At 36.8% G+C, this 24,466-nt stretch overlaps 2 annotated features.

The window, feature by feature from the left end:
- Nucleotides 277–1,060: an enhancer, noted in NCBI's record as "H3K27ac-H3K4me1 hESC enhancer chr8:55795336-55796119 (GRCh37/hg19 assembly coordinates)". NCBI's record gives its function as "activates a minimal SCP1, AML or CMV promoter by ChIP-STARR-seq in primed H9 embryonic stem cells {active_cell/tissue: H9 hESC(primed)}" and the evidence as "EXISTENCE:reporter gene assay evidence [ECO:0000049][PMID:30033119]".
- Nucleotides 14,245–15,444: an enhancer, noted in NCBI's record as "BRD4-independent group 4 enhancer chr8:55809304-55810503 (GRCh37/hg19 assembly coordinates)". NCBI's record gives its function as "activates an origin of replication core promoter dependent on BRD2, P300/CBP, MED14 and CDK7 cofactors, and independent of BRD4, by STARR-seq in HCT116 cells {active_cell/tissue: HCT116}" and the evidence as "EXISTENCE:reporter gene assay evidence [ECO:0000049][PMID:35650434]".

Here is a 24,466-nt window from a genome sequence, read left to right on the forward strand (position 1 = left end):
CTTTCTGGAGGTGGAGTCTGAAGCTTTTTGTTGGTTTGTTTGTTGATGTACAAGAAGCACCCTGGGTGACTCTCATGCAATCTGGCAGGTACTGGTCCTCAGGCTGACATCTGGCAACCTTTGAATTAGGAATTTCACTGCAACATGTTGGTGAGACTGACACTGTCACATCATTTACCCCTTTTGCAAATGTTGCTGTTGACAGCGTGTGCACATTTACATTGTGTTTCCTGAGGTTTGGAAATTGTACAGCTTGGGGGATTTCCAGTTTACCACTGTGTGTGTGTGTGTGTGTGTGTGTGTGTGTGTATTTACTACACTTGGAAGGGGAGACAGGTGAAGGCAAAGCGTGTAAGTCAGGCTGTGTTACTTTTGTCCTTGCCAAAGGTGCTTTCCTGAACCTGGAACAAGTATGAAAAACAAAGCTTCACAATGTTAGAAAGTTCAAGGAAGAGCAGAGCTGCAGAGTGCCTAAGCACAAAGGCATGTAACGTTTCCCAGTTAATTTGATGAAAGGAGTTGCTGTATCAATTTAACCACAGTGCTTAAAATAGCTTTTGCTCTAAATTCTTTTGATCACTGGCAGTGCAAAAAGAGACAAGAAACGTTCCATACTGTGTCAGACAATAAGTCACTCACTTCTTCCAGAGTTGTTCTTGACTAAATGTTAGAGTTCCCCTCAAGACTCTCCTGCCACAGTCCACATACTCAGAGCAGGACAAAACCCAGCAGATGGGGGCTCTGTTGCTGGTGCAGGGTTTCTCCCTCTGGAGGGGCCCGACACTGACCACTCACATGTTGTCTGGATCTTCAAAAGGATTGTCATCAGTGAAGAAATGCACTGTCACTGCCGGTGGGTGTGAGTTCTGCAGAGACAGCCCTGGCTCTTGCAGGCTATGATGTCTGGAAATGCCGTGTCAGTAGGATACCCATGACCACTTCATGACACCCTGGCAGCTCAGACACAAAGGTCCCATGGGGAAGCGTCAGCAAAGGACGTTTCTTAGCCATCGCCTAGTACACACTCCTTAGATATGGCCTCATGTATCCATGCAATCATTCCTTCATTCAATAAGCATCACAAAGAATGTGGTGTCACCTCCTATGAGAGCTCCTGCTTCTTCGCACCGGGGTGTGTGCCCCAGTCACTTGCTATGCTCTGAGCTCCCTGAACTCTGAACGGAGGCGACACCAAGCTACTTGCAGAGATTCTGACTTACAGAGTCTGTGCCTGTGATCACGAAGTGCACTCGGGATTGAGGAACCCTTTCTAGAATGGTCTAAGATTCTCAATTACAGTGTAACACATGCTCCATCAACCTTGGTGCTGATGGGAGCTGCAAGGACCTTGTTACTAATCATAGGTTCACAAACAGAGTTTGAAAATGGTTTCATGTTCTTTATAAATTGAAGCAGACTCTGTCACTTATTGGCATTTAGATTCTTATGCTCTGTTCTAAAACATTTGCCTGAATTATCTCATTTAACACACAATCCAAGAGACACAGACTTAGGTCTGTAGTAAAGATGGAACACTGAGGCACACAGAGACTAAGCTCTCTGTTCGGTTTATCCCACCCTGGGCTGTCGGACCTGGAATTCAAGCTCCACGGTTTCCCATAGGGCACAGAACCTGTTGCATAACCATTTATTTGAGGCACTCCTTTTTCCTCTTCAGGGATCTTGAGCTATTTTCCAACCATTTTATCCTGAAGCCAACATGAACTTGGCTCTTGTTGAGTGTGGCACATCCTCCCTTCTGTGTGCTAGGGAGTGCTCCTGCAATCTGCACGTGCTTCCTTTTTCATCTATCTTCAGATCGTACCTGTCTTCCAAAATCCAGCTCTCTTTCTTACTATTCCTTTAAAGTGTACCATCCAACAGGTCTAGTGTCCCTGAATACATCTTTAGTATTCAAAATATTGGCCTTGGAGAAATACCATTTGACCGAACCATCCCATTACTGGGTATATACCCAAAGGAACAAATGTAAGTCATTCTGTTATAAAGATACATGCACATATATGTTCATGCAGCACTATTCACAATAGCAAAGACATGCCCATTAGCAATAGACTGGATAAAGAAAATATGGTACGTATACACCATGGAATACTATGCAGTAATAAAATGAAATGAAATCATGTCTTTTGTAGGGACATGAATGGATCTGGAGGCCATTATCCTCAGCAAACTAACGTGGGAACAGAAAACCAAACACTGCATGTTCTTGCTTATAACTGGGAGCTGAATAATGAGAACACATGGACACATTGAGGGAACAACACACACTGGGGCCTGTTGGGGGGTTGGGGAGGAGGGAGAGCATTCAGGAAGAATAGCTAATTGATGCTGGGCTTAATACCTAGGTGATGTGTTGATCTGTGCAGCAAACCACTGTGGTACATATTTATCTATGTAACAAACCTGAACATCCTGCACATGTACTCTGGAACTTAAAATAAAAGTTGAAGAAAAAAGTTGAAGTAAATAAATTAATAAAAGATTGGCTTTGGGTTTGCCTTGTAAATATTTGGATCAATAGTATTATATAGAGTAGGGTGATTGAAGAAACATGGCCATGTTCTTTGTAAAACTGATACAAATAAAGAACGGTCATGCAGAGTTAAAAAGAAAAATCTCAATTTAACTTTTAAGTTAAGCCATTTCAACTTGTATTGCACTATGATATTGTTGCAGGAATTTTCCCTAGTTCCGCTAAAGATGGGGTCCTTGTCAGTCCCATGGCTATGAAAATTTAAGCTCGCAGATGGTTTGAAGGGTGAGTAAGACAGGGTTTTATTGGGTGAAAAGGGAAGAAAAAGGAAAGCAGAGAACCTCCGCAAGGACAGAGTCCCTGCTAGAGTCATATTACTATCTGTAAAATACAGACTATTTGCCCTAAATTTGTCAAAAGTATTCTTCTGGCTTTATCTGACAGTTGATATATAGATTGGTAATGTTTATTTGCTTCTTTGTTTTTATAAATTCACCTTTCCACTTGAGAACACTTACTATCTCTACTGTCTTCATGATGAACAAACTCTATGGTCTCATATGATGAGGACAAGGTATTATTTTCAGTCAACTTGAAAAACTCCGGTTTATGTTAAAAGATGATTTGGTTGCCTATGTTATTTTCCTTGGAGTTCTATGGTTTCAGATGTTACATTTAAGCCTAATACATTTCAGTTAAATTCTGTATATGCTATAAGACAAGGGTCCACTTTCATTCTTCTGCATGTAGATATCCTATTTACTCAACACCATTTATTGAAGAGATTATCCTTTCTTCATTTTGTATTCTTGGTGCTGTTGATGAAAATTAGTATACCGTATGTGCGTAGGTTCATTTCTGGGCTCTCTATTTTGTTCCATTGGTTCACATGTCTGTTTTTGTGCCAGGACCATATTGTTCGATTACTATAGCTTTGTATTGTAGTTTAAAATCAGGGAATGTGATGTCTCCACCTTTATTCTTCTTTCTCAAGTTTGCTTTGGCTATTCAGAGATTTTTGTGGTTCCATATGAATTTTAGAATTGCTTTTTTCTATTTCTGTGAAAAATGTTATTGGAAGTTTGATAGGGACTGAATTGGATATGTAGATTCCTTTTGATACTATGGACATTTTAACAATGATTTTGGATATGACACCACAAAAATAGGCAACAAAAGCGAAAGTGAGTGAGATTACATATAACTAAAAATCTGCACAGCAAACAGTCAACAAAATGAAAAGGCAGCTTATGAAATACGGGAGAAAATATATGCAAACCATATATCTGATAAGGAGTTAATATCAAAAATATATAAGAAACTCATATAATCCAAAAGCAAAACAAAACAAGCAACAACAATAAAACCCAAATAACCTGATTAAAAAGGTGGCAAAGAACCTGAATAGATATTTCTTTAAAGAAGGCATACATGCCAGCAAGTATATGAAAAGGTGTTCAGTGTCACTAATTATCAGAGAAATGCAGGTCAAAACCACCAGGAGATATCACCTCACATGATAGAATGAGTAATCAAAGAGACAAGAAATAATAAGGATGTGGAGGAAATGGAACCCTTGTACACTGTTGGTGGGAATGTAAATTGGTACAGCCATTATGGCAAACGGTTGTGAAGGTTTCTTTAAAAATTAAAAATAGAACTAACATAGAATCCAGCAATTCCACTTCTGGGTTTATATCTAAACATAATAAAATTAGTATCCTAAAGAGATATATTCTCTCGCATGTGTACTGCACTACTCACAATAGCTAAAGTATGGAAACAAGTGCCCATTGATGGATGAATGGATAAAGAAAATGTGGTGTGTGTATGTGTGTGTGTGTGTTGTACATATATAAATGTCAATAATAAATACATTGGTATTCATTGTGTTGTGGTACATATATATATATAGTATATATATATATAATATGAAGAAAAATATACATATTATTCAGGCATAAAAAAGAAAGAAATCTTGCCATTTGAAACAACATGGATAAACCCCAAAGACATTATACTAAGTGAAATAAGCCAGACACAAAAAGACAAATACTATATGATCTCACTTTTTAGTTGTGGAGTCTAAAAAAGGTGAACTCTTACAAACAGAGTAGAATGATGATTGCTAGCAATGAAGAGTGGGTAAAATGGGGAGACGCTGATGGAAGGGTACAAACTTTCAGTTATAAGAGAAACAAGTTCTGGGGATGTAATGTATAGCATTGGTGAAAATGGATATGCTAATTTATTTGATTGTGATGATCATTACATGATGTACATGTATATTAAAGCAGTCTGTTGTATGCCTTGAATATATGCAATCTTTATTTGTCAATATTAAAAAAAAACATGACTTGGTTGATTTGAACAACGTTGTCTCAGATACTTTGGAATCATTTTTTAAAAATTCAGACTTATTAAGGCATAATTTTTTTCTTTTGCAACTTTTATTTTAGATTTAAGGATATATATACAAATGTGTTACCTGGATATATTACATGATGCTGAGGTTTGGGGCACAAATGATCCGATCATCCAGGTACTGAGCATAGTACCCAACAATTAGTTTTTCAACCCTTGCCCCACTCCTTCCCTCCCCTGCAGTATCTACTGTTCCCATCTTCATGTCCATGAGTATGTGATGGGTAGCTCCCACTTATAAGTGAGAACATGTGGTATCTGGGTTTCTGTTCCTGCATTAATTAACAAGGTATAATTTACATACACTAAAATTGTACCCTTTATTGGTGGACAATTTGATGAGTTTTGACAAATGTGTCTAGTCACATAAACACCACCACAACCAAGATATAGAATATTCCTATTATGCCAAAAAGTTCCCTTGCATCTATTTTGTCTTTTGTCAAACTTCTTTCCCTACTCCCAGCTCCTGGCAACCACTGATGTATTTCTGTCCTTGTAGTTTTGTCTATTTGTGACTGGCTGATAAAGGAATCATACAGTTTAACACTTTTTATGTCTGGCTTTTTTCACTTAACATAATGCTTCTGAGGTTCATTTATATGGTTGTATATATTATTAGGTATTTCTTTTATTACTGAATAAGTGTTCCATTGTATAGATATACCACAATGTGTTTATCTATTTATCAGTTAGCCTTTAGGGCTGCTTTTGTTTGGGGCTATTATTATAATAATAAAGCTGCTATAAATATTTGTGCAAAGGTCTTTGTGTAGACATCGCTTCTCATTTCTTTTAGGTATGTGTTTAGGGGTGGAATTGCTTGGTCATATGGTAAGTGTATGTTTAACTTTACAAGAGACTGCCAAATTTTTTTAAGTGTGGCTGTACCATTTTGCATTCTCACCAACTATATATGAGAGTTGTACTGCATCTTCTTGCCAACACTTGGTACTATCAGTTTTCAAATTTTAGCCATTCTAGTGTGCATTGTGGTATCTCATTGAAGTTTTCATTTGTATTTTTCTAGTGACTAATAATACTAAGCATCTTTTCAAGTGTTTGTTTTTCATCTGTATCTCTTCTTTGGGGTGTGTCTCTGCAAATATTTTTTACATTTTTTCATTAGATTGAGACTCATTTTAAAATGTCTTTCCTTCTTTTCCAAATGTTGATCAAGAAGAGGATGTACTTATCTCTTTACCCAGATTTCTTGTGTGCTTAAAATGAGAAATACTCTTCCCTCCCAGTGCCCCACTGTCTACCTTTTAAAACCAGGATAAGAGAAAAAAGAACCCTTGGGAATGTAGCCGGAAATATGAGGAATTATATCCCATGTCCCCAAGTGTCCATGCGGACACTTTGGCATTCTCCATTCTTTGCTTAGTCCTTCCCATGTGAGTAAAGTTGGTACAAGCAATTGGTGAGTAATATGGGGAGAAATGACCTTTCCTGCTCCCTATCAGGCAGGTCTGGCTTTCCAGTGGACGGTCATTCTCCCTTTTGGACACACTTCTGTCAGTCCCTGCTCTCATGACTCAGCAATGAGAGACAGACAGTGAGCAATTATCCACATAGCTGGCCCATAAGGGTCTGCACTGGAGACCCAGTGTCCCCAGGGTAAGTCACAGATTGATATCTCATCAGTGCATCAGTGCTAAGGCATGTTCTCCATTCAGAATACCAAGTATAAAGCTCATAGTTTGAACCTCATCTGCTGCCTGTGTCTTTTTCTCAATTTATTTGGAACCAACTGGTGTAAGGAGTGTAACTAGCTCCTGGTCATTTCAATGCAGTCTTGAATGCATGCACTATTTATGGGGTGTTGTCCTTGCTCCCTCCCTTCCATTCATTCTGTAAACATTTACCAAGTACTTACCATGCTCTAGGTACTGAGGCATTAGGGCTTTGGAAGTGTAAGTGCTTGACCTTGGAAGATTAAAATATATTTTTATGGGAAAAGGAAAGGAAACATGTATATTATACATTTTCTTAGAGCATCTTTTAAAATCTTTGTCACATCTACTTTCTTCACTCTGCCATTGGGTAAAAATAGAAAATTTTTATTCAGTCTTTGATTTCTTTAATGCTTAGTCTATTCCACTTCTCAAAATGTATCCTTCACACAAAGCAACTAACAATATTGAATGTAGGGATAATTTTATCCAGAATATTTTACAGGTTCATGTTTGCAAACGTTATCACCATTAGATTTTAATGTCTTATAGAAGTCACTCTGGTCTGTTTAGTATGCAGTACTTAGCTCATCACAGCCACTGCAGTTATGCATGGTTTTTTTCTTTCTTCTGAGACATAGTCTTGCTCTGTCACTCAGGCTGGCGTGACATGATTCATCAGGGCATGATTACTGCTCACTGCAGCCTTGACCTCCTGGGCTCAAACAATCCTCCCACCTCAGCCTCCTGAGTAGCTGGGACTACAGGTGTGCGCCACCATGCCCAGCTAATTTTTTTTTTTTTTTTTTTTTTTTGTAGAGAAAAAATCTTGCTCTGTTGCCCAGGTTGGTCTCCAAATCTTGGCCTCAAGCAATCCTCCTGCCTTAGCCTCCCAAAGTGCTGGGATTACTGGAGTGAGCCACTGCGGCCAGCAATGCATGCTTTTTAAACAAACAAGCTTTAAATGATTTTCCACAGTTAGAAATTTGAAATTTTTTTACAAATATTCTAATTGCACTTATGACTTAGAAAATTAACCTGGAGTCCATTTAAATTTTTGGTATGATATTTCTCATCTTCAATTTTTTTTAAACTTTGTAAGCCCTCTTTAAGAATGCAGAAGAATAGATCATTATGCTTGAAGGCCCCTTGATGCTGACAAACATCCAACATTTACACCTGTCAAGCAGAGAATGGATTGTGCAAGTGTAGACACCTGAAGACTCTGCCAAAACTAAAATATCTGATATAAACAGGTTATTTACAGTCCAAAGGGAACCATCATAATCCTCATTTGTTAACTGAGGACAAGATGTTCTGCCTGGAGCTACCAGTGAATTCCCTGTAAGCCATTTAGAGAGGTTCTTTGTATATTATATTGTAGAAAATCGACAGAAAGAACGAGACCATTTACAGGAAGGAACTTGGTGCTCATTTGATTTGGATACTTTGTGCGTCTCCTGTGGCCTTTGAAATGAAAAATTTCCAGGATTGATTGGGTGTGTGTTTTAACTTCGTAGCACATTCAGTGGACTGTTTTGTAGAGCAGGTGGTCAGCGCTGTAACACTTATCCGGCCCTGTCTCAGGGACTTTGCATCATCCACTTGGACCTGTTCCCGTGGGTTTCCTGTGGTTCTGTCTTACCCGGATGTCAGCCCTAGAGTCGCCTACACAGAAGGCTTTGCTGGCCACTTCAGTCGCCCCCTTCCTATTTCTCCTGCCCATGGTCACTTATCCCATGACCCTGCCATGTTCTCTGTGGAACCTAACATCCTCCAAGACAGTACATATTTACTGGAGTATTTGCTTATTTCTTCTCCTCACACTACAACATGAACTTTATAAGGGCAGTGATTCTGTCCTGTTCAGCACAGAATCCCAGGGATAGACTAAGGCCTGACTCAGAGTACCTGCCCATAATAATTGATGAAGAATTGATTACTAACTGATTCCCACTTAGAGCTAATCAGACCAGATAGCTGTCCCTTTTCCAAGTGGGATATCTTTAAATTATGGATACTTTTCAATTGAGCCTAATATTTTGTAAAAAAAAAGGAGACTAAAGCTTCCTGTGGCTTAAAAGTATAAGGTAGCAAACTGGTAGGTCCCTCATCCCCAAAGCTCTGTTAGTCTGTGCCTGCCCAACCCTGCTGACTACTGGTCTTTGTTGAAATACCAAAGCCATGCCTAAAGGGCAGAACCTTCTCTGCCTGCAGAAATTGGTCTCTTCTGTTGTGGCTAGGAAAGGCTCTCCTCTCCTGGTGACAAGGAAGGGCCCCTCTGAAAGCTGGCCTTAGGCCAGTCTGATGTATCATATAAGAGCTTCCCCTTTCAGATGTTACTGCAAAATACACTTTCTCCAGTCACATCCCTCTCCCATGCCCATTTATACCCGCCAGAGTCATTGGGAGTAGGATGGGTTCCTCCTACTTCCCGGGGTGCCAAAACTCTCATAAATGACTGCAAGTTATTTCATGGTCTGGTTGTCATATAAAAACTATGTAGCCTGAGAATTTAATGAACAGATCGAACAGAAAACATAATTATATTTCCCCAGTCTCATAACTCTCTGATCAGAAATATCAGCTATAGTTTAATACCACTGAATCCATCCTTTAGGGGAGACAGTTCAGCAAACTGTTAACATTTGTTTTACTTTCAACTTTTTATGGCGTTCTACTTACTATATATTTATATTTGGATGGGTAACTCACTGGCCACTTAGAAACAGAATGCTAAGCTTCTTATTGGTCAGGATTTGTGAAGAATTGAGATACGTTTCATCCTTGTTTGCACGTGATCTTGCTAGAACATTTGTCTTCTCAAAGTGATCATTTTAAAAAATTTTGATGTTTTTCTTTCTGAATGAATTGTGATGTTTCATCCATTTTAAAATGCTATACAATAATCAGAATAGCAGGGTACAACATTAAGAAGTTGATATATCATGGAAAACATTTCAATTAAAAAGATTTGAATGCATACGTCCTGTCATTGCTAGTCCTTTTTGTTGCCTTTATCAATAAAAATTGTATGGGAATCAGAATATTCCTTTCTGAAGAAAACTGGAAGCATTCAGTGAATCTTTAAGCCTTTAGTGGTCTTTAACTGTGGAATGATGATGTCACGATGAACAGAGCAGTTACCTCATATGGGGAGTAAATTGCTGACATGATAAAATATAATTTTTCCCTAAGAAAGTAAATATGAGAAGGAGTAAATTGGATACAATTTTTGGAAGCTCATTATAAAATAGAAGTTTAATATGTTCTGAGTGGCAAGGAAGAAAAATGTGGCAAAGAAATCAAGCAATTAACAAATAGCTAGGAGCCAATGGTTTGATGAATTTAACTAAAATAGTAAAGCATTAAAAATCTGTTTATCTAAGAACATCTTAAAATTAGTGAGTAGGAGGAACGTTGGGTTGAAAATGTATGTCTGTTTTGTTATGTAGGCAGTGAAAAACATCAAGTGAAAGCCATGACTTTGGGAAGCCAAGTTTAAAATAAAAGCCATTTTGACAGCAATCCAAGTCACTGAGTACAACAAAATACTCTTTTAAAGGACTTCTGGGTATCTTTAAAAGTTTATATGCAACTTGTGTGACCAGGTCCTATTGTGAAAGAGGGGAAACATATATATCCACAGAGACATTGCTGTTCAGAATCCCTTTTATTAGTAAGAACTAGAAGCTCACGGGATGATTGTAGGTTGCAAAATATTCCTGTCCATGAGTGGGCTGACTTGTAAGACTATCTTCCTAAACCGAGAAATTTCAAATATAATTTTTTTCTGAAAGATTCAGTGTGATCAATGACATGCAAGTTGAGAACTGAGTGGAATGCAGTGAAAGACATAGCTTTTAATGGTTCTGTGGAAGGCATGCTAATTACCCCCATAGGAAGTGTGTACGTTCCCTTGAAGCCATGTGTTTGCCTTTAAAAAAGACTCATATTCATGGGGGCAAATGCTGAGTACCCTCTTGGAAAGTTTTCCTGGTCTGCATTACTCCCTCTGCACCTAGGTATGAGTTTACAAGGTCACTTTTTCCATTTGTAGTATATTTTATAAAAACTTCTTTGTTATTTTTATAATTTCCCCTTAAGTTTCCAAAATGCTTTTAAGGTTTTTGAATAACAGAAGTCCTATTAACAAAGCGTATAATTTCTAAGCAGAGAAAGGCAGTCTGCTTCTACTGACAATTTTCCTCATGCTGCATGAACGTCAGAAATCCTCTCTCAATATGTGCTAGTTCCAGGTTCTCCACAAGCAGAGCAGGTAGGCTACACAGAGTTAATGAGGAAAAAACGCCTACCCCATTCTTTGTTGGGGATCTGTTATTCTTCCTAAAATTAGTTGAACTGGTGGTAAAAAGAATGATATTCTGGTCTCAGCTTTATAATTTGTTGGCCAGTTGGCCTTGAGTACATCATTTTATCTCTCCAAAATTCATGTATTCCTCTGTAAAGTGTGGTAATATTGTGCACCTCTCTGAACTTACAGCAAGGATGAAGTGAAATAATGTGGGTAACATTTTCCTTGAATATGAAAATGTTAATAATAATGATAGTAACCATCACATAGCTCATTTTAAAATTCTTGATCTCATGATGAGAACAGGCACAGCTCTCTCTGGGCAAAGCTAACTACAATGCTGTCTGATGCTCAAGGGCTTCAGTAACTGTTCCCCCTTTGAGTGCAATCTGTTAACATGTGCTTAACTTTCAGCTCTATCCTTGATACAAACCCTTTTGTAACATCAGAGAGCAGAGGTTTCATACTGGGTAGCCTAAATTTAACTGGCCTATTGGGGGCGGGAATTCTGAGAACGAATTTCCTAGAGACTTATGACCACTGTTAGTTTATGACCACTGTGGGGTCACCGTGGTTGAGGTTCAGTAAAGTAAAGCTCTCTGTAACCTAGAGCTGCCCAAGCTTTTCCTTTATTTTGTTTCTAAATAATTGACTGAAAATGAGTTATGTAATTATATGTGATATGCATAAATGTTTAATCATAATGGTATGATTAACAGTAGCCTGTTGATTATTCAATATACGGATTATTAGCAAAATTATAAAATAGACTCCAAAGTGTTTAATAACATGTTTGAACAAAAGTGAACAGTATAACCCTAAAAGTAGTCATTGAAACTTCAATGACACTATCAGAATTTCTGATCTCAAAATTGTAAAGGTAAGGGGAGAGTGTTAGAATATATTTAATTTGTGACTTCAAACATATGTCGCTGATGCTTTATTAAAGAGAGAACACTATATTGGAGCTAACTGTTACTAAAAATTGTCAAGTCTTTGGCCACATTGTCAGATCTAATAGGGGACATCTGAAATTAATGGATCCTCACTGCTATCCTGGGCAGTCTTTGTCTTCTTGGACATGTTGACATTGAGCCACAGGCAGGGTGAATAATGATAGTTCAGGGACAGTTGGAGTCCTGTGCTCTAGAGGCAGCAAAAGCAATTGAGTCACTTCAAAAAATCTGTGAATCTTCCTGGAAACTGTAATGTCAGATAAGCTAACCAGCTCTGCAATTTTTTCAGAATTCACGATGGGTCAGAGAGTTCCTGTAAGGGAGACAAAGTGGTCTACGGTGGGCTTCTACCCAATGCAGGTGTCCAGTTTGAGCCTGAAGATCTGAACTGTTTTTATTAGTTCAGCCTTGCCTTGGTTTCTTTTCTAAAATTTCAGATTCAAGGTGTCCAGATGGCTTGTTACATTGGGGGAAGGAAAAGCTTAAATCCTGTGAACCACTTGATTTCTAACAAATTGGCTTTCTCAGAGCTTTTAGTTAAAAAAAATTCTTAGTCGAATAAAATAGTTAAGCACATCTCTTCAACAAGTTTCTACAATCTGTCTATAAACAATCACCATTACCACAAAGGGCAAACACCATACCATGCTCAACTAAAGTATCACATAGACCAATCATGATTAAGGGCACGAGAATTACAAAGGAAAAGACTAAACTTGGCTATTTTCTATGTCTGCATTGTTGGGGCTCAGAACACAATATCTGAAAGTATGGCACCCTGACGTGCTGACTTTGAACTGAAGGACGTTGGAAGGGCCTCGGAAGCAAGTTCTCTCTGAATTTCTCCTGCCCTCTTGTCCCTCTTTTTCCTCCCCCAGGTGAGTCATAGAAACCAGGATACTTATTCCATGGGTTAAGCCAAAGAAACTAGAATGCCCCTCCCCCTAAGCAAACCATAAAGCCTAGAAAAGTCATTCTTTCCCTTTTCCCTTGAAGACTCTCATTCCAGTGGGGTCACTGCCATGTATAAGGTATTTTCAAAAAGTTCATGGAAAATGCATATTGTGAAAAAACATGCATGGATTTCAACAATTTTTGCACAAAAATAAAGTCATACTAACTTGTTATAACACATCTGAACAGCCTCTAGTTTGAGGCATGAAGAAGCATAAGACAGCTGAAGACAGCCCTTATCAAAGCAACATGAATTCTGTTACAATTGAAGCAAGAACAAACATCAAATTTATGGTGAAGCTCGGTGGAAGAATGACGAAATCACTGATGCTTTACAAAAAGTTTATGGGGACAAGTCCCAAAGAAATCAGCAATTTACCTATGGATAATTCATTTAAGGAGGGGCAAGAGGATGTGAAAATGAAGCCCACAGCAGCTGGCCATCCATATCAATTTGTGAGGAAAAAATTAATCTTGTGCATGCCCTAATTAAAGAGGACTAGCGATTAACAGTGCAAAAAATAGCCAGAACCACAGACATCTCAGTTGGTTCAACTCACACAATTCTGACTGAAAAATTAAAGTTGAGCAAGCTTTCCACCCAATGGGTGCCAAAACTGTTGTGTCCAGATCAGCTCCTGACAACAGCAGAGCTTTCAATGAAAATTTTATGCAAGTTGGATCAAGATCCTGAAGCATTTCTTTGAAGAATTGTAACAGAAGATGAAACATGGCTCTACCAGTACCATCCTGAAGACAAAGCACAATCAAAGCAACGGTTACCAAGAGGTGACGGTGGTCTGGTTAAAGCCAAAGTGGACCAATCAGGAGTCAAGGTTATGGCAAAAGTTTTGGGGATTCTTGAGGCATTTTGCTTCTTGACTTTCTGGAGGGCTGAAGAAAAATAATAACTACTTGTTCTTAGAGTGTTTTGAGAAAGCCAAAGCTTTCACAGTAAAACTTCCAGGAAAGCTTCACCAGGGAGTCCTTCTTCACCACAACAATGCTCCTGATCATTCTTCTCATTAAACAAGGGCAATTTTGCAAGATCTTTGATAGGAATACGTTAGGAATCCATCTTACAGTCTGATTCAGCTCCTTGTGACTTCTTTGCATTTCCTAATCTCAAAAAATCTTTAAAGGGCACTCATTTTTCTTCAGTTAATAGTGCTAAAATGACTGCATGGGCATGGTTAAATTCCCATGACTCTTAGTTCCTCAGTGGTGGATTAAGTGGCTGGTATCATCATTTACAAAAGTGTCTTCAATTTGATGGAGCTCATATTGAGAAATAAAGTTTATATTTTTAAATTTTCATCTTTTAATTCCATTTTTCCATGAACTTTTTGAAGCTCCTCATACTCTGGGGGAAATAGTGCTGTACAAATAGGTCAAGAAGAATCTGAACAGACAGGACTTGCTGGCTTCCCTCCTCATTCTATTACCAAAAGTTCATACCCTTTTATCCAATCACATTTCCACATAGCTATCCACTTTTCATGACACCTAAGCATAGAAATAGACAGTTTTCCCTGGGTCTTTTGCTATTCATTTCTGAAGGCTCCTGTGTTACTTTGTGGCAGAGTTTATGTAAACTTTTTGATTCAATAAATTTGTTATGCTTCACTCTTATTAACCAGTCTGTGGTTATAGGAATGTCAGCTGTGACCCTCGTGATGGGTGAGGAGAGGTATCACACCTTCCTACCCCCTACAGCATCAAGTGGAAAGGCAAGGCCTCAGACCAAATTCCTGGTGCATGATTCTGTGGGAACTAAATACAATGACCTTATATTTGACTTGAATGATTCACTGACTATGTCCCTTTTACTCTTTTATTGCTAGTGTCCAGGGGCAAGTAAATCTTTTTTGATGAGTCACCTTTTATAATGCCCAAATTTTACTTAAAAAAATCTTAGTGGAATTCAATTTAAACAGCACTAAATAATATCATTTAGTTATATTAGCTTAACAAGTATTAACCAACCTAAGTTCCCTAGTTTGGGGATTACCTAACAGTAGTTAATAGTGGTATGTTAGCTAATCAGTTTTCCCCCAAAATGTTCCATGGCATGCCCAACCACAAGTTGCATGCCTTCGGAGCATTCTGTCCAAAAAAACACAAGTTGTACTAGAAACCTTCTTTTTTCTTGTCCTGCTAGTCCAACACAGGTTTTTAAAGGGCAGCTAATCACTAAATCAATACAGAAGTAATTTTTCTTGCTTAATAATTCTAATCAGGTACAAGCAAAACTTCTAAAATGAATCATAACTTTTACAGGCTACAATAGACAAACAGGTTGACTGGCTGGTAGTCTTTGGGGTCAGAATGACCAGGGTATAAATATTAATTCCCCTACATATAACTGAGCCCCAATTTGTTTATTCGTGAGATGGTCTTAATAGTACCTAGTTTGCAAGGCTATTGTGAGGATTGAATGAGGACTACTTGCAATAGTGACTGTTACATAGTATGGTGACCAAAATTATAGCTGTTAGTATCATTAATAGCTTAGAATCTATTAATATATCTATTATATAAACATATAATATATAGCCCAGTTAATACATCCACTTTCTCCCTGCCTCTATTGTAGATTGCATCCTGGATGTGGCAGACATGTACAAGGTTCAGGTCAGCTGTGAGGCCCCAGCAGTCTTTGAGGGCTGGCATTTTAAGTCTCTCACATAAAAAAAGAAACACATAAAACACGAAGTGAACTTTGACTGTAGCTGCTGGTTCTCTCTTAACAGAGAAGATAGGGTATTGGCTGAAGAATTCTCTACAGACGGAAAGGACCAAAACATTTTATCAAGTAAAAAATAATGGTGAAGACAAAAACAGCATCAACTTGGCTTTGAAAACAAATCAATGGAGCATTACATTTTACCATTTTCCCCTCCTCTTAATATGTGCTTATGCTTATGTGCTTCCATAATGACTTTGCAAATGCGGCACTTTTCAATGTTAATGACAAGTTGAAGTTCAATTTTCAAATAATTCTAAGATTGTAAAATCTCATATACAGTCTTACTATTAAGAGATAATACATGTTATTCAAAGGTATAAGCCATTGTTGTTAAAATTTTGTATTTAATATTTTGTTTCCCAGGTTGAGATATATGAAAAGTATTTATTATAACCCAATAATGAGTTATCTTATTATTGAAAGTGTTTACATAATCCTTTATATGTACTTGTTTCTAAAATATGTTAGAAGTGCCTAATCATGATGCCTGACAAATCTGAGAAAAATTATAGAACAAAGTTACAAGAAAAATAAAGATATTGCTAGTTATCTCAATCTATTACAGTATGGATAAAATTAATTGTTAAAATGTATTAAGAAAATATTACTGATTTCCAGGGGGAGGGAGAGATGACTAGATGGAGCAGATAAGACATTTAGGCAGTGGAAATACTCTGTATGATACTGTAGTGATGGATACATGTGATTATACATTTGCCCAAATCCACAGAATGTAAAACACCAAGAGTAAATAAACCCTGAAGTAAACTATGGACTCTGGGAAATAATGATGTGTCAATGGAGGTTCATCAATTGTAACAAATGGCCCAATCTGGCAGGGGAAGTTGATAGTGGGGGAGAATGTGCATGTGGGGACAGGAAGGGGATATATAGAAAATCTCTGGACCTTCCTTTTAATTTTATTGTGAACTTAAAACTGCTGTAAGAGGAAAGTTTTATTTTTAAAAAAGTATATGAAGAAATTAGAATATGTCAGGACCTATATGTTTTTGTTTTCCCCACAACATCAAATTAAGCTATATATGAATTGACCTGGATGATGATCTATTTACATGGGAGAAAATGATTTATATTATCTAAATTGGAGAATTTCAGTTGACACCTGTTATTTTTTGGTGTGTACCTTCAATCTTCATGTTCATTTTTCCAACCGTTATAACATTTTTGCATTTATTTCAATCAAGGATGTCAACAAGGTTGTGTTGTTTGAACTTTCTTTCAATTTTAAAAAATAACAAAATACCTTGCTTTTCAGTATTCTTTGCAAGTTTACAAAGCATTCTGACATGTTTTGTCTCAAATAACCCTGAATGTTAGAAATTAACAACTCAATAGAAGAGAAAACGCAATCTCAGTGAGTACATCCAGACACAGGGACAGCGAGGCTAAGACCCATCAAAGATCATATAGTTGGTAAAAGTTTTGGCCAGAACCATAATTATGGATTCTTAATTATCAGTAGATAATTTTCCGTTTAAGATTTTTATCTTACATTGATCAGAAACTGACCAAAAAAAATCCTTCTGATAATATTCAATCTTTCCCCCATCTCCAACGCTTCTAATTAGAGTTTTGCCCATGATTTGAGACAATAAATAGGACTTGACTGTGCTTCATTTTTTCCCCAAAGAGTCAGTGTAGAATAATGGGTAAAAGTATGAATTCTGGAGCAGAGCATGATCACACAGATGTGAATCTAAACTCTGGTTCTACCATCTATGAGTTGTGAGACTTTGGGCAAGTACTTTGTTGGTTTGTGGCTCAATTTTCTTATCTGACAAGTGGGATGATAATGATTCTTATGAAGGTGAATTAAATGACTTAATACTTACAAACAGCTTAGAAGAGTTCATGGCACAATAGTAAACATTATATGTGTGTTACCAAAAACATTGGTATTTTCTCCTACTTTCTGTTAATCTTTTCCTTCTAAAAAAACTATCATTTAGAAGGTCATTAATGAACATGGGTTGCCAAATTACATTATAACTTTTCATGCTCTGTCTCCTTATTTCCCTCTGAACTGTTCCATCAAGTACTAACGAGCATCCATTCTTTGATGGAACATTTACTCTAGTTGGTACCACTTCTTCAATAAGCTTTTACATTCTCTTGCTTCTACTACATTTCTGACATTTTCTCAGACTTTCTCATTCTGTTCTTCAGCTTAAGGTGTTCTTCTTGGTGAATTATCTGTAATCTTTATTAGATCTTCCCACTCTCATCTTTGGGGAAATTAAAAGAAATTATCTGTCTATCTATCTGTCTATCTATTTCTCTATCTATGTATCTATTGATAGACCCAGATTCATTTTATTCTAAGATCTTTAGCTGACTATTGGAAACATCTACATGGATATTCTGCCAACATCTTTAAACCTAACATATATCTGTATCTATATCTATGCCTACCAATCTATCTATCTGACCTTTACTTTACAGAGTTGTTCCTTCTCATGTTTTCTTTACATTTACCAGTTGAATAAATATTAATTGAATGAGTATTCAAATGTTAAATTGAATAACACTCATAGACATTTACTCTGGGTTTTCTCGTCTATAAAAACAAAGAATTTGAACTTAGTACACTTTAACACCACTTACAGCATTAAAATTCTCTGTTTATGTGAAAATGAAAAGAAAATGTGTAATTTAGAAATAATATACAATTATGGAATTTCTATGAAATTCTAACGAAACTCCTTAAAATCAGTGATAAAGAGAAAAATGTTAAAATTAGATGAGAAAAAAATGAACACAGCATACACAATAACAAAGAAAAACAGCAGACTTCTTGCTTGAGACAATGCAAGCAAAAAGACAGTGGAGCAACAGGAAGAAAAGAAAGAAAAAAGATAGAAGGAATGAAGGAAAGTAGGAAGGAAGGAAAGAAGGAAGGAAGAAAAAAAGAGGTTGTCAACATATAATTCTATACTCAGTAAAAATACCTTTTAAAATAGAAATGAAACACTTTTTCAAATATATAAAAGCTGAAAGAATTCCCTACTAGCAGACCTTCAGTACAAGCAATATTAAATAAAATTCTCCACACAGAAGGAAAATTATATCATTTGGAAATATAGATAAATGCAGAGAAATGAAGAGCGTATGAAAATGCTAAATATGTAAATAAATATAACTGTGATAATGTGTCAAAAAAGCCTTTAAATGATTAGTAATGTTTCAACACTGAGTACAACTTTTTATTCAATAAATCAAAGGATTATTTTTCTTATAATCATGAGTAGTAAAAACAAAAAAGATAATTTCTTTCATAATAAAAAGGGATTTTTGAACACCAAGCTAAGTACTGAAGAAGATTTTAATTCTACTTTTAATGTGGACTCAATGGCATTATATTTTTCAGTTGATAATAATTTACGTTTTAAATTTATTTTTATACTCTCCTAATTTCTGATCCATACTTGCCTATCTTTTCTCCCTGGATTCTAATTTTTCTTTTTGTCTTCTGCCTCAGCTTTTTCATTTATTCTTTCTACTTTCAGTTTTCTCATTCAGTCTATCTTCGTGGCTTCCTTTCTGTTTAGCAAAACGTTTTGAAAAGAACTTTATATTCTCTTTCTAAAGCTGGTCATAAACTCAACAAACTTAAGAATACTGAGACATGACTTAAATACTTTCTCAAGTGTGAAATATAAAATTTAATGTTGACCATCAAGCACATATTTATTGAGTACCTACAACGTATTATATTAGATATTTAGGATACCTTGATGAATAAAACAAAGTAAGTTTCATAAGCTTCTTAATTTTACATTCTAGGGGAAAGGACAGACCATAAACAATAAATATCATAAATTATAAATTATTATTTTACATTAAAAGGTGATACAGGCTATGAAAAAAGATTAAAGTAGGGACAAGTAGATGACACTGGGAGGTAAAAGTTGTAGTAGTAAGTGAAGTGATCAGCTTATTCTTTGAAAAGTGAGATGTGGGGGAAAACTTGAAAATACATGCAGACACAAGGACAGATAGGCAAGGGCCAGGGTCATAAAACAAGAGCATGTCAGAAGTGTCCAAAGGACATCAAGAAGACCAAGGTGGCTAAAGTAGAGCAATCTGGAGAAGAGCTGCAGGATAGGAGGTCAGAAAAGTAATGATGACCTGGTAATGTAATGCTTTATAGGTCCCTGAAAAGACTTTTACTCTTTTGTTTTGTTTTTTGTAGATATGGAATCTTGATATTTTGCTCAGGCTGGTCTCAAACTTCTGGCCTCAAAAAATTTTCCTACCTCAGCCTCCCAAATTGCTGGGATTACAGGTGTGAGCCACTGAGCCTGTACTAAGATTTTAACTTTTTGTGAGTATGATGAGTCCTGGATGAGTTTTGAGTATAGAAGTGACATGATCTGACATACTTAAAAAAAAAAAATTCTGATAACTTTGTTGAGAATTGATTACAAGTGGCAAAGGGGCAAGAGCAGAACCAAGAAAACCTTTTGTAATTATTCAAGCAAGAGATACTGGTGGCTTAGACCAAACAGTACCAGGAAGGTGGTGAGAAGTGATTGGATTCTGGGTATATTTTGAGGGTAGATTCAATGAAACTGACTAATTGATTTTATGTAGGATGTGAGAAATGGAGGGAGAGGGCAATGAAGATGCCAAGATTTATTTGCACAACTGGACATACAGAGTTGCCTTCAATCTGAGATGGGAAAGATGAGTTAATTAGATCTCTCTTGGGCATATGAGTGGAAATATCAAGTGGACAATATATCATGCAAGTCAATAATTTAGGGGAGAAGTCCAAGCTAGAGAGGTAAATTTGGGTATTGTAAGCATATAGATGCTATGTAAAGCCAGAGGCTGGATGGAATCACTATGAGAGTAAGTGTGGACGGAGATCAGAAACTGCCCAAGAACTAAGCCCTAGAATTCTCCACTGCTAAAAGATCAGAGAGAGAATAAAGAATCTATCAAGGAGGTATGATTGTTTTTCTCATTTTTCTACATTTAATCTTTGCAATCAAAGTTTATGCCATATGTAAAAAACATCCCTGCTCCCAGTTTCATGTGGGACCAGTGCTCCCTTCTTTGGAGCTGTGCAGCTTCAATGGATGATACCATGTGAGACTCCTAGCAACGTGTCCTGTAGGATCCTGGAGATGTTCCTTTCACCACACTGCCTTATGAGGACAGTCACTGGGGCCATGATGTGGACTCTTGAGATCATTGGCTGTTCAGTGAGACAGAAGAGGCTTGCTCACCTCTTATTAGTTCTGTGAGCAATGCAATCTTCTCAATTTCCTCATCTTTTAAATGGAGATAATAATCCTACCACATACTGGGTTGATGAGAGGATTAAATAAATCAATGAATTAATGTATGCCAAGTGCATGTAAAAGAGTGATCACTCAACAAAGAAGCATATCCTTCTCCATGTGGGGCACTGTGTTAGAACTGAGGGTTTGCGTGGACTATAGCAATGAGCTCCCTCCACTTCTGGGGCATACATCCTCCACAGGAAGACAAATGGTAAACAAGCAGATGTGACTCATAAAACTCAAAGTGCTACCAAGGAAACAAATCAGGGGCTGAGATAGAAAAGAGTGAGGGGAAGCTACTTTTCATATTTATTTCATATTTAATTTTCACAGCAATCCTGTGAAGTGGTATTAACAACACTGTTTCAAGATGAGGAAGTTGTGGGATGGAACTGTCACATAGCTATCAAGTGGCAGAAGAGGGACTCAAATCCAGATGATCGAATGCTCTCCTGCTGCCTAGGCCACTGTGCTTTATTTGTATTTGCATATTCTTGCAGCAAGTGAGGGGTCTGTGAATCTTAAAAAAATGCAATGATTATCCAATCTATTAAATTAACTCTGTGCCTTTATATAAATGACCCCAAATGAAACTGAACAGGAGGAAAACCATATTTTTGAGTATAAATATGTACTGTCCCATTGCATAAAACATACACCTCTCAGTAAGCATATGGTGATTACTATTATCCATGTTTTACAAATAAGGAACTGAGGTCTGAATCAAAGACTGACTCCATAGCTCAGGCCACTGCACTCCCCTGGCATTGGCAGAGACTCAAAGAGGAAAGCTGTCAAGGCACAAGAGAGAAGGTCCTCCTGCAGCCAGAGGCAGCTTGGGAAGACAAGCACTCCAAGACTAAGAGTAAGACTAAGGTCTGGATATCCCCAAAGACTCTTACAGAAAGCTGAAAAATGTGGCTACCATCACTTTTCCCCAGCTAGTAGAAAAACTTATTTCGAAAAATTCTATGTGATAATGAAAAGCTCAATAAGATTTGATGATTTAGATAATGAACAAATGAAATTACTTTCATGCTAAGTCAGGCTGACTGTTCAGTAACCTGCTCTGCCATGAGGGCCTGTCCCAAGGATGAGCTGCCTGACACGCTGTCTCCTCTTGACAATTTACAATGCTCCTGTGCACTAAAGACTCTTGAAGTACCATGGCAAATGCAATTTCAGTCTCCTTCAAACCAAGATTTATAAGCCTGCTTGACTGCAAAACTCTCTCTAACCTTAGAATTCCTATCAGCTTCTCACCAGGGTGAACTTAGGCATAATGGTGTAGAGGAAAGAGCATAAGCGTTAATAATTAGACTTTAAACTCATTAATTAATTAATTAATTCATGCACAACTGAATGTCTACATGATCAGGCATAATGTCTTGGCAGTATGAAAAACGATGACATAGTCCTTGTCCTCATGGGATTTATATTAGCGGGGGCAAGGGCCAGGAGGGGAGAGAGACATATCAAATGTAATTATGAGAGAATGTGCTTAGCGGGCAGTCCATTTATTTATTGAACAAACAACTGCTGCATGCCCACACTGCTGTTGTCTCTGGTTTAGAGTCTCAGAACACATTGAATAAGAGACATAATGTCTTTAATTTTACAAAAATTACATTTTAGTTGAGATGCGGAAGATAATAAGTTATAAAATAATGTCAACTGAGACAATAATGAAGACATTTTAATGAAAATGAAGGAAATTTAAACAAGATGATAAGATAAAGAGTGATTAAAGCCAGTGATTATTTTAAAGTATCTATGTGAGGCTTATATTGAAACTAGGAGGGACTTTATAACTTTTTTCATTGGTAAAATAATACATTCACATTTTAGAAAGTTTACAAAGTCCAGAAAACTTTTGAAGACTTGCCTTCAGTAGCTATGTATACCATTATAGTATTTACTTAATCATTTTCTCATTAATGGGTCAAAGGGCACATGCACTTCTAGAAAGATCTTTTACAGCTATACTTTCTCATGTAATGATAAATGTTAATGTGAAAATTATACCCATAAACCAAAAACCTATTGAAGAATCCCTATTAGTTTCTTATTAAATTTTAAATCATTGAACTATTTATATCTTAAGCTAAAGATTTAATGATAAATTATTAGTGGAATCAGATTATGCTCATAGTGAATTGGACAGAGCTGACCAGTCTTCAGTGGGTCAGTTAGTATAATACTTATTAATGGATGGCTATTAGGTTTGAGTATATTAGCCAAGTTTATTTTTATTTTTCCTTTGCTCACTGAATTGACCAAATAGTAAAAAGGCAGGGCTGATTTGGTCTCACTTAAAGATAATCAAGCTCCTTGTGTTTTTGAAATTGAGCAAATTCAGAGCTCTCAGTAGTATATTGTCAAGATTCATTGTCTTTTGAACTCTTTTCTTAGCAGTTTGTTAAAACTTGTTAAAGTTTTAAAGTTGTTAAAGCTTGAGTTGTCAAGCCAACAGCTCTTAAATTGTATCTTAAAATCAGGGGAGGATTAGTCTTAGTGTTGGATTGTGTTTGTGGGGAGAAACCATGGGAAAGATCTGGAATTTCTTAATATCTGACATTTTGAAGGAGAGGGAGTTGTTTTAGGGTTTCACTGTACCACAGTTCCTTAAAGAGTTCTAAAATACTAACTGTAGCAGAACTTGCTTGGATACCAAGAGAACAAGCTCTATAAAAGTTAAAATCAATGGTAATTTCTCATAAGCACAAAAAATTTCTAAGTAAAATGGTAGGATTTTTTTCCTATTGCCCATTTTTGGAGATTAATTATAGGAATAGCTTATGCCCTTTAACAAACAGTTCTACAGGGAAAGAGTTGACATAACTAGCTGACAAGAAAAAATATCTGGAAAAGCTTAAAAGATCTAAAAATGCTCAAGTGTTCAATGCTTTCTGCAATAAAAGCAATACAGTACCTATGGCAACAATCTTCCCAGAGTTCTGCCATACCTGTACAGTCATGCACCACATAACAATGCTTCAGTCAACGACAGATCGCGTATACCACAATGGTCCCATAAAATTGTAATGGAGCTGAAAAATTCCTATCACCTAGTGACGGCAGCCTTCCTAATATCCTACCTGCTGGTGGTAATGTTTGTGCTCTGCTGTAGTATGAATGTAAATAGCACATACAATTATGGACAGGGCATGATACTTGATAATGATAATACGTGACTATGCTACTGGCTTCTGTATTTATCATATTGTACTTTTAATCATTATTTTAGAGTATACTCCGCATATATATATATAAAGTTAACTGTAGAACAGCCCTTCACAGGTCCTTCGTGAGGTATCCAGAAGGAGGCATGGTTATCACAGGAGATGATAGCTGCATGCTTGTTGTTGCCCCCGAAAACCTTCCACTGGGACAAGATGTGGAGGTGGAAGACAGTGATATTATGATCCTGACCCTGTGTAGTTCTCAGCCAATGTGTGTGTTTATGTCTTAGTTTTTAACAAAAAAGTTTAAAAAGTAAAGAAAAATTTTAATAGAAAAATGCTCATAAAATAAAGATATAAAGAAAATATTTTTGTTTAGCTGTACAGTGTGTTTATGTGTT

The sequence above is a fragment of the Homo sapiens genome, chromosome 8 (assembly GCF_000001405.40).
Source record: "Homo sapiens chromosome 8, GRCh38.p14 Primary Assembly".
NCBI lineage: Eukaryota > Metazoa > Chordata > Mammalia > Primates > Hominidae > Homo > Homo sapiens.